The sequence below is a fragment of the Homo sapiens genome, chromosome 10 (assembly GCF_000001405.40).
Source record: "Homo sapiens chromosome 10, GRCh38.p14 Primary Assembly".
Taxonomy (NCBI): Eukaryota; Metazoa; Chordata; class Mammalia; order Primates; family Hominidae; genus Homo; species Homo sapiens.
The window spans coordinates 121,274,408-121,287,841 of record NC_000010.11 but is presented as its reverse complement, the minus strand read 5'-3'; the positions used below and the strand labels follow the sequence as shown (position 1 = coordinate 121,287,841).

General features: G+C 40.2%; 1 long non-coding RNA gene across 1 annotated transcript in view, besides 2 other annotated features; it reads left to right on the top strand.

Annotated features, from left to right (window-relative positions):
- Nucleotides 1–13,434, top strand: part of LOC105378523 (uncharacterized) — a 129,587-nt gene that overhangs the window by 35,104 nt on the left and 81,049 nt on the right. The gene's annotated exons all lie outside the window — the stretch shown is intronic.
- Nucleotides 399–568: an enhancer, noted in NCBI's record as "experimental_10514 CRE fragment used in MPRA reporter constructs". NCBI's record gives its function as "activates a minimal promoter by MPRAs in K562 erythroleukemia cells, with activity observed for the introgressed 10:123046873 or rs10886894 variant allele {active_cell/tissue: K562}" and the evidence as "EXISTENCE:reporter gene assay evidence [ECO:0000049][PMID:34662402]".
- Nucleotide 483: a transcriptional cis regulatory region, noted in NCBI's record as "Neanderthal adaptively introgressed variant 10:123046873 (GRCh37/hg19 assembly coordinates) or rs10886894 in the experimental_10514 CRE". NCBI's record gives its function as "modulates activity of the experimental_10514 enhancer by MPRAs in K562 erythroleukemia cells {active_cell/tissue: K562}" and the evidence as "EXISTENCE:reporter gene assay evidence [ECO:0000049][PMID:34662402]".

Sequence of the window (13,434 nt, the reverse complement as noted above, 5' to 3'; positions counted from 1 at the left end):
TAGAACCGGAGAAGTGCTCTGTGTCAGTGCCTGGTTTGGAGAGGTTTCTGAAATGGTCTCTGCAAGAGTGCATGATGAACAGATCAAATGATGAAAGGGAATTATATGAGAGGGAAAACAGGCAGTATAGATGGCAAATACTTGACCAGGCTCTGAGGCTTAGGCCCTCCATGGCTCTTTCACTGTAGAAACTCAATGGGGATCCATTTTTCAGGTAAGCAACCGGAGGCTGAGAGCAGGTCAATTGCCTAAGGCTGCACAGCTAGTGAGAGATAGACCTGGGATTTAAACCTACAGAGCGGGGCTCCAAGGTCTGCCTTCTTAGCTGTTACTTAAGCCAAGGTCATCTTGATCTTATGGAAATGACAAAGAAATGTGTGATAAAGTAGAAAGGGAACTGGAGGAGGAGAAGACCTCAGCTCTTGAACCTAAGGATCTCCATAGCATTGGGAAAGTCGTTATTTCTGTATGCTGTTCCTGACATTATCATCATTATGGTAATTGTCACCAAGCAATGGGTTCCCTGCTCAATGCACATAGAATCCAACACTATGGCACTGGCTTTTGACAAAAGAGAAAGCTTTCTTGCAAGGTTGACTATCAAGGAGACAGGAGGAAACCTCAAATCTGTCTCCCGGAGCTGGGGTCTGGGGACAGGTTTTATAGGCTGAGAGTAATTATAAGGGAGCTAAGGAAATGCAAGGAGGCATGACCTGATTTGGGCTATGCAGAGAGGTGGTGCTGGGTCCTTGACTTTTAAGTTCATACTGCAACAAAAGGGGGCACCCCTCACTTCTTAATTTGGTCCCCATTTCTGGGTTCGGTACTTACATTTCACATGTGCTTGAATTTTTCTTTCCAGCCTGCTCCAGGGTCACTAATCAGGCATGCTGGGTTCATCTGCACATGCTCAGGTTACTGTGACTTGTAACCTGGGGGGTCTGTTGCACTTACATCATTAGGAGGTATCAATACCAATATGTGGAACAAGAATAAGAAAACTGTGGCATTTTGTTTCTCAAACTCTCTAGAGGATATTTCTGGAGCCCTGAAAGTGACTTCAGACAATAATGAAATTTGATGGCCTCCTAGCTCGGTGAGTCCAAACATGGAGGAACTACTCATAATGTCACAAAGTTGTCCAGATGCTCATGGCCTGTGGTTGTATGTTCAGTATCCAATGTTGATGAAACCTATAATGTCAAAAAGCTACTCTAAATGAGGAAATGCTTTTAAATGAATTTGTCTGTTACTGTTAGGACGTCATCTATACATATTTGAACACAGTCATGTACACATGGAAGTGATGACATGATTTTTCAGATCATGGTCTCCTGCTTCCTGGGCAAGTGAACCCTAGAGGTTAGTAACCACCCTTCCAGGTATATTTCAATCTTAAAACAAGAGAGGAATGGATGCTTTTAAAGTAGGACAGGTGCTTGTCTCTTTAGCCTCAAAAGCACCTATTGACTTTCTGTATAATCCAACCTTTGACCATGCAACCAGTATGACTTGTTCAGGAATAAAAGTTGAGCCAGAGGAAATGGTGGTCTAATTTAACTATTAAGGATGTCAGGCCAAGAGTCTGGCTCTCAGGGGAGGTAACAGATACTACTTGTACCATTAAAGTCATTGCAGAAGACATGGTTTCTGAGTCAGGCAAGTGAAGACATCAGTTTGGGACCTCATTTTCCACTCGCAGTTCCTATTACTGAAAGCCTTCATTGGTTCTTTTATGATGGTAGTTAGGAGAAAAGTGATCTTTGGCAAAATGAAGTCTGCTGCTCTACGGAGGAGAGTTACATAAATGCATTCTTCCCCACCCTTCCACCTCCAAAAGCACGATTAGCTCTGCTTAATTCACCCTGCTCTTTCAGTCCTGATGCCAGGAGCAGCAAATTCCACAGGCACTTGGTAGGGTTTTATCTGATTGTCTCTCTTAGGGACTGACATAGTGTAACTCATTGCTGATGGAAATGAAAGGTAATGTAATACCGATATTATGCTACTTTTCCATGGGGGTCCATAAGCAAGAATCATGCTTATTATCCATTCATCTTTTTCTGAAATTTGCAAAATTTAACCAGCCAGAACACATTTGTGTACCCTGTCATCATTTTAGAACTGGCACTGGAATTTTCCAACATTCCTGGTATTTTCCATTTCAGTGCCAAATGTATTTCTTTTTCCTTAGAAATGAATTAGCTCTTCAATTTGCAGATATAAAGGCAGGCAATATTATGTCTTCCTATGTCTTGACATATGGAGCCTACCCATGGAAGGCAGGGATGTGGGTGGTTTTCTCTCACTTCTGCTATTATGTGAACTTGAATGAGACTATATTAAGAGTGGCAATTCTGTCCTCCTTCATAAGGACACTATTGTGCATTTTGCTAAGCTTTCAGAGACAGTGCAAGAGACGGATTCAACAATACTTGTGAGTAGAATCTAGTAGGTTTACAGTTCCAACTTGTTTTGGGGCTCAACTGCTGGAAGACAGCCTACAAAAATAGCAATTTACAGGAAAAAAAAGTGGGTCCTGAGGCATTTGGTCGGGGCAGACATTAGTTTCATTTAGGGCTTAAACCAGCCCACAGTTAATTGTAGGTCTCTTGCATTAGCTTGTAGGAGCAGTAAAAGCATGTAATTCGAGCTAATCTGATGGGCAAATGAACTAGGTGCTTGGTGCCAAGTGAGACCGTGAAACAAAAGGACACATGTGTTTTCAGGGGAAAAAAAAAAACAACCCAACACAACATAGTTTCAACTGTTGCACATGTGAAACTCTGGAAAATTCTTTGGGAGGTTTGTCGTTTTAGAAAAGTATCTTGAGAGAGCAGTGGCTGAACCTCTGGAGCCCAGACCCTCTCATTACCTGAGCAGTGAAGCATGTGGCCTGGAATAATTGGTGGGGGAGCTTTCAGAGGAGAAGGTTTATTTCATCTGATTCTAAAGGTCTGCTTTAGAAAGCCCGTCTGTCATGTGGGTCTTAGCATTTATTTTGCCTGATTCATTAGAATCAGCCCAGGTTCCATTCCTGTCAATTCTGATTTAACTGGTCTAGGGTGGGGCTCAGGAATAGTGCTTTGGGAAAGTCTCCCCAGATGATTGCAATTTGATGATGGTCGTTAGGATTAAGAAACCTCAATCTAGTAGCAGATATGGCTTAAGGAAGTGAGCTGATGGTTGATGTTAACAGACTTGATTAAAGTTACCTGAGAGGGAAATGGTGCAAGGACAACTGCAGGGATGTAAGTGGATATTTGGCACTTTGAAATGATGCCACCTTTGTGGGCCACATAGGATTTGCTTTCCTGGGGAATTAGTATACTGGTGGTTTTTCCAACGTCATTCGTGCATAGACTGACTTCCTCAAAGCATACATGTAACGTGACCTTCAACAAGACTGGCTCTCATTTATTCCATGCTGGAGCAAGTCCCTCAAAGGAGACTGACCCTTGACTCTTTTTTAAAGGTTGAATCTCAGAATAGTCTTCATTGAAGGGAAAGCAGGATGAAAAATGCAAAGAATGCAAATATTTTTTATTTCTCATTTTCTATGAAAATACTTAGACCCTGAGCCCTAGGTGGGGTCCTGTTGTCCTTTTCCTGGCGTGGCTTTCCTCCTGGGTGGCAAGGTGTGTGTTCCTGTTAGTAAACTGGTTTTAGGATAGTAAAACAACCAGGCAGTTTAATCATGTAAGTAAGAAATTATCCATTTCAGTAATATGTTAAATCAGTAAGTCAGTGTGCTTTGAATACACCTTGCTAATTTAAACCAGTTACGTAAAAGGTAGTGTTAAAATCAGACCTTTTGTTATTACCATTAAAAGAAAAACTTTATAAGGGCATTAAACAACTACCAAAAATGTGTAGCTTGGACTAAACTTTGGGATTAGAATCCTCAAAAATCAGGGGCAGAAAATTAAATAGTAACTCAATCATAAGCTGTTATACATTCTGAAATGTGAGAAGTCTTTAACGTATTACTGATTAATAGGGTACATCACAAAGGACTCTGAAAAGAGGGAGGTCTTGTCTATTGCAGACAAAATATTAATCCCATGTTAGAGAAACAATGAGTATATTGTCTTTATACTGTCGACATTATATGGAAGGTGGAAATTGGCGAACAGGACTAAGTCATAATTACTGTGACTTCATATTGAATTAGCAAGTCATTTGTAAATGTAAAAACTGATTCCACTGGAGACCATAACCAATGGCTTCAGTAGGGTTCTCAGGTGTGTGGTTAGGGATCTCAGATTCAGGTGAGCCAGGTATAGGAAATACAATGGTAAACGTGATTTCTTAACAAACGTTGAAAATATTAGCAAAGACACGCAGAGGCAGGCACGCAGAGGCAGGAGCTCTGTGAGTTATAACTTTAATAATTTTTTGCCAGTGTTTTAATTTACATGAGTTTCTCAGAGGGATATGGGCAACTGGCCTGAGAGCGCCCCCATTCCAGGACGCAAGAGCAGCTCTCTCCTCCCTTCCTCATTCAACAGATGTCCTCAGAACACCTCTGCACCAGGTGACAGCACAGGCAACAATTATGGAAGCAGAGCTCTATACTGGTCAGGGTTCTTCAGAGAAACTGCACTGATAGGCTGTGTTGCGTGTGTGTGTAGTATCATATATCTACGTACTATAGGTATATACGTACTCCATATATGTACTATATGTATATAGTTTCAAGTATGTGTGTGTGTGTGTATATATATATATGTATATATAGTCATGCATCAGTTAACAAAAGGGATATACTCTGAGAAATGCATCGTTAGTTGATTTTATTGTTGTGCAAACATCATAGAGTGTACTTACACAAACCTGCTACACACCTAGTCTATATCATATGACTTATTGCTCCCAGGCTATAAACCTATACAGCATGTTATGTACTAAATACCATAAAAATTATAACACAATGGTAAGTATTTGTGTATCTAAACATAGAGAAGGTACGGTAAAAATACAATGTAAGTGATTAAAAAAATGGTATACCTGGCCAGGTGCGGTGGCTCACGCCTGGTATCCCAGCACTTTGGGAGGCCGAGGTGGGCGGATCATGAGGTCAGGAGTTTGAGAGCAGCCTGGCCAACATGGTGAAACTGTCTCTACTAAAAATACAAAAATTAGCTGGGCGTGCCTGTAATCCCAGCTATTCCAGAGGCTGAGGCAGGAGAATTGCTTGAACCCGGGAGGTGGAGGTTGCAGTGAGCCAAGATGGCACAACTGCACTCCAGCCTGGGCGACAGAGTGAGATTCCATCTCAGAAAATAATAAAATAAAATAAAAATGGTGTACCTGCAGAGGGTGCTTACCATGAAGGGAACTTGCAGTACTAGAAACTGCTTGAGGTGAGTTGATGAGTGACTGATGAGTAAATGTGAACGCCTACAGCATTACTGTGTACTACTGTAGACTTTATAAACACTGTACACTTAGGCTACACTAAACTTATCAAAACATTTGTATTTCTTACAATAAGCTAAAGTTAATTTTTTACTTTTTAAACTTAATTTTTTTAAATTTTTTACTTTTTTGTTATGACACTTAGCTTAAAATATATGCATTGTGCCGCTGTACCAACATATACAGTATTCTTTATATTCTTATCCTATAAGGTTTTTTCTATTAATTTTTTTCACCTTTTGAACTTTTTTCTTAAAAACAAAGATACAAATGTACACCTTAGCTTAGGCCTACATAGGGTCAGGATCATCAGTATCACTCTCTTCCACCTCCATATCTCGTCCCATTGGAAAGCCTTCAGGTGGAGTAACACGCATGGAACTGTCGTCTCCTGTGATAACAATGCCTTTTCTCAAATACCTCCTGAAGGACCTGCCTGAGGCTGCTTTATAGGTAATTTTTTTTAAATGAGTAGAAAACCTATTCTAAAAAAGTATAGTAAATATATAAACCAGTAACATAGTTGTTCATTATCACTATCAGGTATTATGTACTGTATATAATCGTGTGTGCTATACTTTTATATGACTGGCAGTGCAGTCATATAATATGATGATGATTGCACCATCATCACCACAAATATGCAAGTAATGCCTTGTGTTATGACCTTGCAACAGCTATTATGTCACTAGGGACAGGAGTTTTTCAGCTCGATTATAATCTTAGGAGGCCACCATTGTATATGCAGTGTGTCATTGACTGAAATATCATGTAGCACATGACTTTCTCTCTATATATATTTATATGTATACAGTCTCTTTCTCTTCCTAGAGAGAGAGATTTAGTGTAAGGAATTGGCTCACACAATTGTGCAGGCTGGCAAGTCCAAAATCTGTGGGGTGGACCAGCAGGCTGGAGACCTAGGGGAGAGCCAAGTTTCAGTTCAAGTCAGAGAAGGCTGTAGGCTGGGAGAATCCTCTCTTGCTCAGGAAGGTCTGTCTTTTTTCCATTAAGGTCTTCAACTCTTTGGATGAGTCCTACCCACTGTAAAGCAGATTAAAGGATGATCTCCTTTACCTGAAGCTACTGATTTAAGTGTTAATCTCATGTAAAAAATACCTTCACAGAAACATCTAGAACAATGTCTGACCAGCTATCTGGGTACCATAACCCAGCCAAGTTAATACATGAAATTAACCCTCACAGACTTCTTGTTGCCTCCCGGGCAGAGTGCTGAGCCCCCTGGCCCACCTTGCCAGTCCATGCTTACCCCTCTTGCACACTGTTCCCAGGGAATGTTTGCTGAAGCTCCTTCAGGGCTGGTCAGACTAGTGAGTTACCAGGTGAGTCTCAGCAGACAAAAGAAGGGGCTTCTGATCTTTCACATGCAATTTCCTCCCAAGAGATGTAACGGAAATTTAAAAAGAAAAATCAGCAGTACGTATGTGGAGTTCGGAAAACAGAGCCTCTTCTGTTACTTCTATTGTCCAGAAAATTCTTCTCATGGCCAAGTCTGTCACAGAACCACAGCTTGACCCTCAGCTAAAGATCCATATTTCCTGTCCCTGTTTCTTGACTGGGGGTCTCTGATGGCCATTATTTTGACACAAATAGCACAAGTAAAGTATGGTTGGTAGTAAGCGTGCCACTTGATTAATGAAATAGTTTCTCATAAAATGTGTACGGTTGGCTTAATTTTTAAAAAGACTGTGGTAATATTTTAGCAATTTGAGAAAATGGAGAAAAAAATGAGTAGGCCCACCATGCTAGCACAATGATTTATACTTTTATATAGTCTCTTCTAATCCTTTTTCCATATAAATACATTTGCTTGCATAATTATTATAGTGTACATTTTTATATATTTATTATGACTATATTTTTATTCTTTCCCTATTAACCTTATATCATAAGTACATTTCCATGTCTTTTATACTTAGTCTTTTTGGAGACATAACATTTCATCAAAAGGATGTACCATAATTTAATTAACCAATTACTGTTGTTGCATGTTGATGCTGTTTCCAGTTGTTTTTTGTTTTTTTTTTCTATTATAAATCATGTCACAGTGGTTTGCTTTTCTTTAGGATAAATTCCTAAAAACAGGGATGACTGAGCCAAAGAACATGAACATTTTTTATGGCTCTTTTGGTGCATACTATTTTTATTGGATTTGATTGGATTGTGTGCATTTCAATAAGGGTTGTTGTTGTTGTTGTAGCTTTCTTTTTTGTTTCTTTGGTAAGGGTCTTGCATTCTCACCTCTCATTTCCAACACTGACCTCTGCAGCCAAGGCAACACATAGATGATGATTACAGCTCCCTGACTGCTTCCGTCATATCTTTCTGACAAAAATATTCTTCAAGGCTAAAAATGTTCATGCCCAGTCCTAGCTTGAGAGAGATTTATAGCATGGAAAATCTGAGTATAATTTCTGCAGCCATTTTTCAACCGAGAGTGGAAAAAAACCACATTTCACACTTAAAAGGCAATTTGGGATTTATTTTTGATTCTTTGATAACTCAGGGAGACTTTGAAATGCTTAATATCTCATTGTTTCTCAACATAATCGAAGAAGAGTCCCAAGTTGAGAAGTTTAAGAAATGGTAGTTAGAACAAACATTTAGAAGACAGAGGCTAACGGTACTATTATCTCTTTAAAAAGAGTTGATTTGTATTTTTGGTTGCAATATTTGGAATTTCCTATTGGATATCAATGTGGCATAGTGGTCTTTTGTTTGGTGGATTCTGTTAAATATGTTTTCAATTGTCATTTTGATACAAGCAAGTAATATATTTTAAGAAGTAAATTTAAAAATCGATGTTAGGTGTGGTTTTAATTAAACTTCAGTATAAGGTAGAGGAGTGAATTATATTTTAGGAAAATTATTTATACTTGAACCCATGTCTTTCTGGACAGCTCGTATAAATGGGACCATATAGTAGATGGCCTTTCTTAACTGACTTCTTTCACTTAATATTATGTCTTAGGGGTTCATCCATGGCCATAGCATGTATTAGGTCTTTGTTCCTTTTCATAGCTAACTAATATTCCATTGCACAGATGGAATATTAGCTATAGCACTGACTAATATGCCACATTGCATTTATTCATCAGTTGATGGACATTTGGACTTGCTTTCACGTATTGGCTGTTAGGAATAATGCCTCTGTGAACATTCATGTATAACTCTTGGATGGATATATGTTTTTATTTCTGTCGGATACATACCTAGGGGTAAAATTACTGGGTCATGTGGTAACCCTATGTTTAGCTTTCTAAAAAACTGCCCATATGCTTTTGCGGTTCACACATGGAGATGGATGAGAGACGATGCTTAGGGTCAGTGGGCAAAGGGAATAATCCAAGGTGGGGATAAGAAAGTCGGGTGGCAGAGGAGTTCTTCAGTCCAGAGAAGTTTTAATGTGGATGGGTTTTTTGGTTTTTTTCGTTTTTTAATTTTTTAAAACTTTAAGTTCTGGGACACATGAGCTGAATGTGCAGGTTTGTTACATGGGTATACATGTGCCATGGTGGTTTGCTGCACCTATCAACCCGTCATCTAGGTTTTAAGCCCTGCATGCATTAGGTATTTGTCCTAATGCTCTTTCTCTCCTTCCCCCCACCCCCTGACAGGCCCCGGTGTGTGTTGTTCCCCTATCTGTGTCCATGTGTTCTCACTGTTTAACTCCCACTTATGAGTGAGAACATGTGGTGTTTGGTTTTCTGTTCCTGTGTTACTTTGCTGAGGATGATGGTTTCCAGCTTCATCCATGTCCCTGCAAAGGACATGGACTCATTATTTTTCATGGCTGCATAGTATTCCATGGTGTATACATGAATGTGGATGGTTCTTTATAATAAACTGTTCACTGCAGTACTCTTCAGTTTTTAAGAGTATCTGTGAAATGTTAGAAGGGTGCTAATGTTCTGAAAGATTCGGCATGATCCGCATATGAATCTTCCTGTAATTCTAAGTGCCTAACTTGCTTGTTAGGAATTAGTTTTTGCAATGGACAGCAAATACCACAACCTCCCAAACTTTTTTTTTTTTTTTTTTGAGACGGAGTCTTGCTCCATCGCCCAGGCTGGAATGCAGTGGCGAAATCCCGGCTCACTGCAAGCTCCGCCTCCCAGGTTCACGCCATCCTCCTGCCTCAGCCTCTCCGAGTAGCTGGGACTACAGGCACCCACCACCACGCCCCGCTAATTTTTTGTATTTTTAGTAGAGACGGGGTTTCACCGTGGTCTCAATCTCCTGACCTCGTGATCCGCCCGCCTCGGCCTCCCAAAGTGCTGGGATTACAAGTGTGAGCCACCGCGCCCAGCCCGAAACTTTCTTAATAAGTACCCTCTTGAGCCTTCTAATAAAAACAATTTCTGTGCTTGCCTTTAGTTAAATATGTTATACTAATGTTGGTGTCTTGAGACCCAATAAGGAGCACCAGTGCTTCATCGAATGTTTGAACTCTCCCTAAATTCTGCTGCTGTGTGTGAGGGTCATAATACAATTGGTTTATTTTAAGCAAAATCCTTTTAATTATGTGGGAGGGAGTGTTTTGAGAACACTTCTGAAATGGACATTTAATAAACTGGATAAGATATACTATAAGCATGTTAATGTTACTATCAGATGAATAATTTTTTAATTTTAAACTTTTCAATAAGAATACCTTAGGAATTTGATTGTAGTCTTAGTATTAAACCTAAGATGGTTAATTCAAATGAATATTGCCCATGAGAATCTCTTTTCCTCTCCTCCAGTAGAAAGATGATATTAGCTTGTGTAATTATATCCCTAGGTGGCATTAACCACAGAATTGAAGGTTTGGTTTCCTTCTGGCAAACAAGCCTTGGTTTTTGACTTGATGCGTGTACAGCTCTGTTGTATAATCATGCTACATGTGAAGGGTGGAAATTAGAGTGTAGGATTGCTGATTTATATTCCATGAACTGAGTTTTCCTGTGCCAGCCCAGAAAAATCTAACCATTGCTGAAGTATTCAGTTTTTTCGTGGCTTCAACAGACCTTGTAAGTGATCCAGGAGGCAGATTTTGGTACATTCCAGCACAAGGTCTAATTATGGATGTAATGATTGGTGAACATTTAAAGCGAAAGCCTAAATACTAAACCTGGAACTTCTTTTTTTAAATTAAAAGGTCAGTAACCTGGTGTCAACATTTTTAGACAGTTTGGGTTATATCTCTAAGAAATAATCAAAGTCGGCCAGAAAAAAACAAATCCAGACCATTTCATTGCTTATAAGTGGAGAAATCCAGTTGTCTTACATGTTGTAACTGACACGACTTGACATGCTCATTTTTTTTAAGTCTTTGGGTTTTGAATAATTGCTTCTTGCAGAAAGCCTGTATTTTCTGTACTCTGTGGTTACCAAGCTGTACTTGACTTTTAAGAGAGTCAAAGGAACGTATCCTTGTGAGAAATTGCTGCTTTGTGGAGTACAAATGAGAGGTTTCATGATCTTTGAAGCTGGGAAGGCCAAATCTGGCTTAGAAAACCCATCGCCAGGCTGTGTTTTATATTCTTCATTGCTTTCCTAAATTGAACTGTCCTTGTGTTGGAGCTGAAAAAAGAAGATATAGGGGAGAGGCAGGGTTTGGTTAAGTGATTTTTCCCATCTGGTTCAGAAAGCAGATAATTTGCCTTGCATTTCGGTCTAGCTGGAGGGCAAAATGGCAGGCTGCCCCAGCATGCCCTAGACCAGGACTTCTCACCGGGGACAACTTTGCCCCCCTTGGGACACTGGACAATATCTGGAGATATTTTTGGTGTCACAACTGAAGGTGGGGGTGCTACTAGCATTTGCTAGGTGGAGGCCAGTGATGCTGCTGAACACCCTACAGGGCAGAGGACAGCCTCTCACAATAAATAGTGCTGAGGTCAGATGCCGACCTGAAGGCATTGCTTCTTAACACCAGGTGTGATGTTTCCTGCTCTGCTGTTCACAGAGGGACAGACAGCAGAAAGTGTCTTTCTTCCGACAAAATGCTCTTTATTTGGCACCTCATTTCTTGGCACCACTCTTAAACAGCCCATTGGAATAATAAGACACACGAAGCAAGCTCCTTACCTGCAGGAGAGGTGCAGAGCCCATGGAAAACACATGCACGCACGGACATGCACACGCACACACATGTGCACATGGACACAGGCACATGCATGCACACATGCACATGTGCACACGTGCACACCTGCACGCATGTGGCTGGTAGCTCATGACTTTATCTTCTTCCCTCACTGCTAAGCATGCTGCTGGCAAGATTCTTCAGGCCTGGATTTATTTTCTTCCTTTCTTTGTCTAATGTTTCATAAAATGTGTTTGATTTTCTTCCTCTTCTCCAGGTTCTTTCTTCTTCTTGGTTGTTAAAAAATATGTTTTTGGTGAGGAATTCTTCTTTAAGCCTTCACCTTTCTTGGAAGGAAAACACTTTGACAAACAGATTAGAAAGTTGTCCGAAGTCATCATAACCTCTAGTCTGTTTGGTACCTTGTGACGTGTGAGTATTTCGGTTTTCCTTAGCCGTGTCTGTGGGGAAATAGAATGACCCTCATCAGTTTTTTAGAGTCAATATGTCCATGCCTTCCGGGGGGTCAACTGTTATCCGTGAAGAAGTGTATAACCCAGACTGGTCATTCCCCTGCTTCTGAGCCCCTACTTGGCCAAATGAGCATCATTGATTCCTGGGGTTACTCTAGACAAGAACAAGGTGAATAAATGACATTCATACTAACAAGCTCTTGGCTCCAGCTGTTCTTCCTCTTCCACTTTTTAAATAAAAGCCCCAGAGAGAATGATACAGGCTAAAAGGATGATTGTCCACTGAGTTGTGTCAGGAACTGGTGGCTGATGGGGCAAGGAGAAGTTTTGGGACCTGAAAGTCTTCTTCATCCCCTTAATGAATTGGGCCAACCCTGTTCGTACTGTCATAATCAGCAATATCTATTGCCTACCCATCCTAATCACTATGAAGAATAGGAAAGTGAAGTAAGCATGTTTTCTGCCCTGTGCTTTGTACCAATTATCTTATTTAATTTTAAAATAACAACCCTATCAATGGAGAACGGTTATTATCATCTTGGTTTTGCATATGAGGAAACAGACTTAAGAAATCGAATCATCCATCAGATGTTATAGAACTACTAAGTAACTATGTGAAGATTTGAACTTGGGCAGACACTTCTATAGTTTCTGGATTCTGCCATACAGTAGGAGCTCAATGAATGTCCTCTGAGCTGAAATTTCATCCATGCACAAAGTGAAGGCATATTTATATGTACATTTAACTTACGATTTCATAGGCACACACTGGGCAAACTCCCAACTAAGTTTCAGGGATGTACGTCATGTGTGAAGTGGCTGAGGAGGCCCTACCCTTCCCCAGCGTGTTCAGTGGTGCCTCTAGGAAGTGACCGTGTTTTGCTCAATGAGCAACTCTGATACTTAAAGATAATTTTCCTTCTTGGGCCCTAAAGGTGAACCATCTGCTTCACTGTGGTGCTCAACTGAAGAAATGCACAACGGCTTCAACACTGGAGGAAATCTAGTTAGGTTGCCTTCATGGAGACCTGGCCTGCCACTCCCCTAGACACAAGAATGGTTTGGAGCCGCAGCATCCGGCGGCTACTGGGTGCTCAAAATGTGGCTAGTTAAGATGTGCAGTGTAAAATACACATTGGGTTTTGAAGACTTCATCAAAGAAAGGTGAAATATCTCATTAGTAATTTTTTATGTTGATTGCATGTTGAAATATTTTGGATATACTGGGTTTACATAAAATATATTATAAAAATTAATTTCACCTGTTTCTTATATTTCTAATGCATCAAGCAGAAAACTTAAAATTACATATGTGGCTCTCATTATGTTTCTATTGGACAGTGGTTGGCCATTTAGTGCATTTTCAAGGAAAATATGAGTATATACGTTAACTTTACAACCTAATTCCCCCACCCCAGCTGAAAATGCAACTCCATTATAAGGGTCAAAATA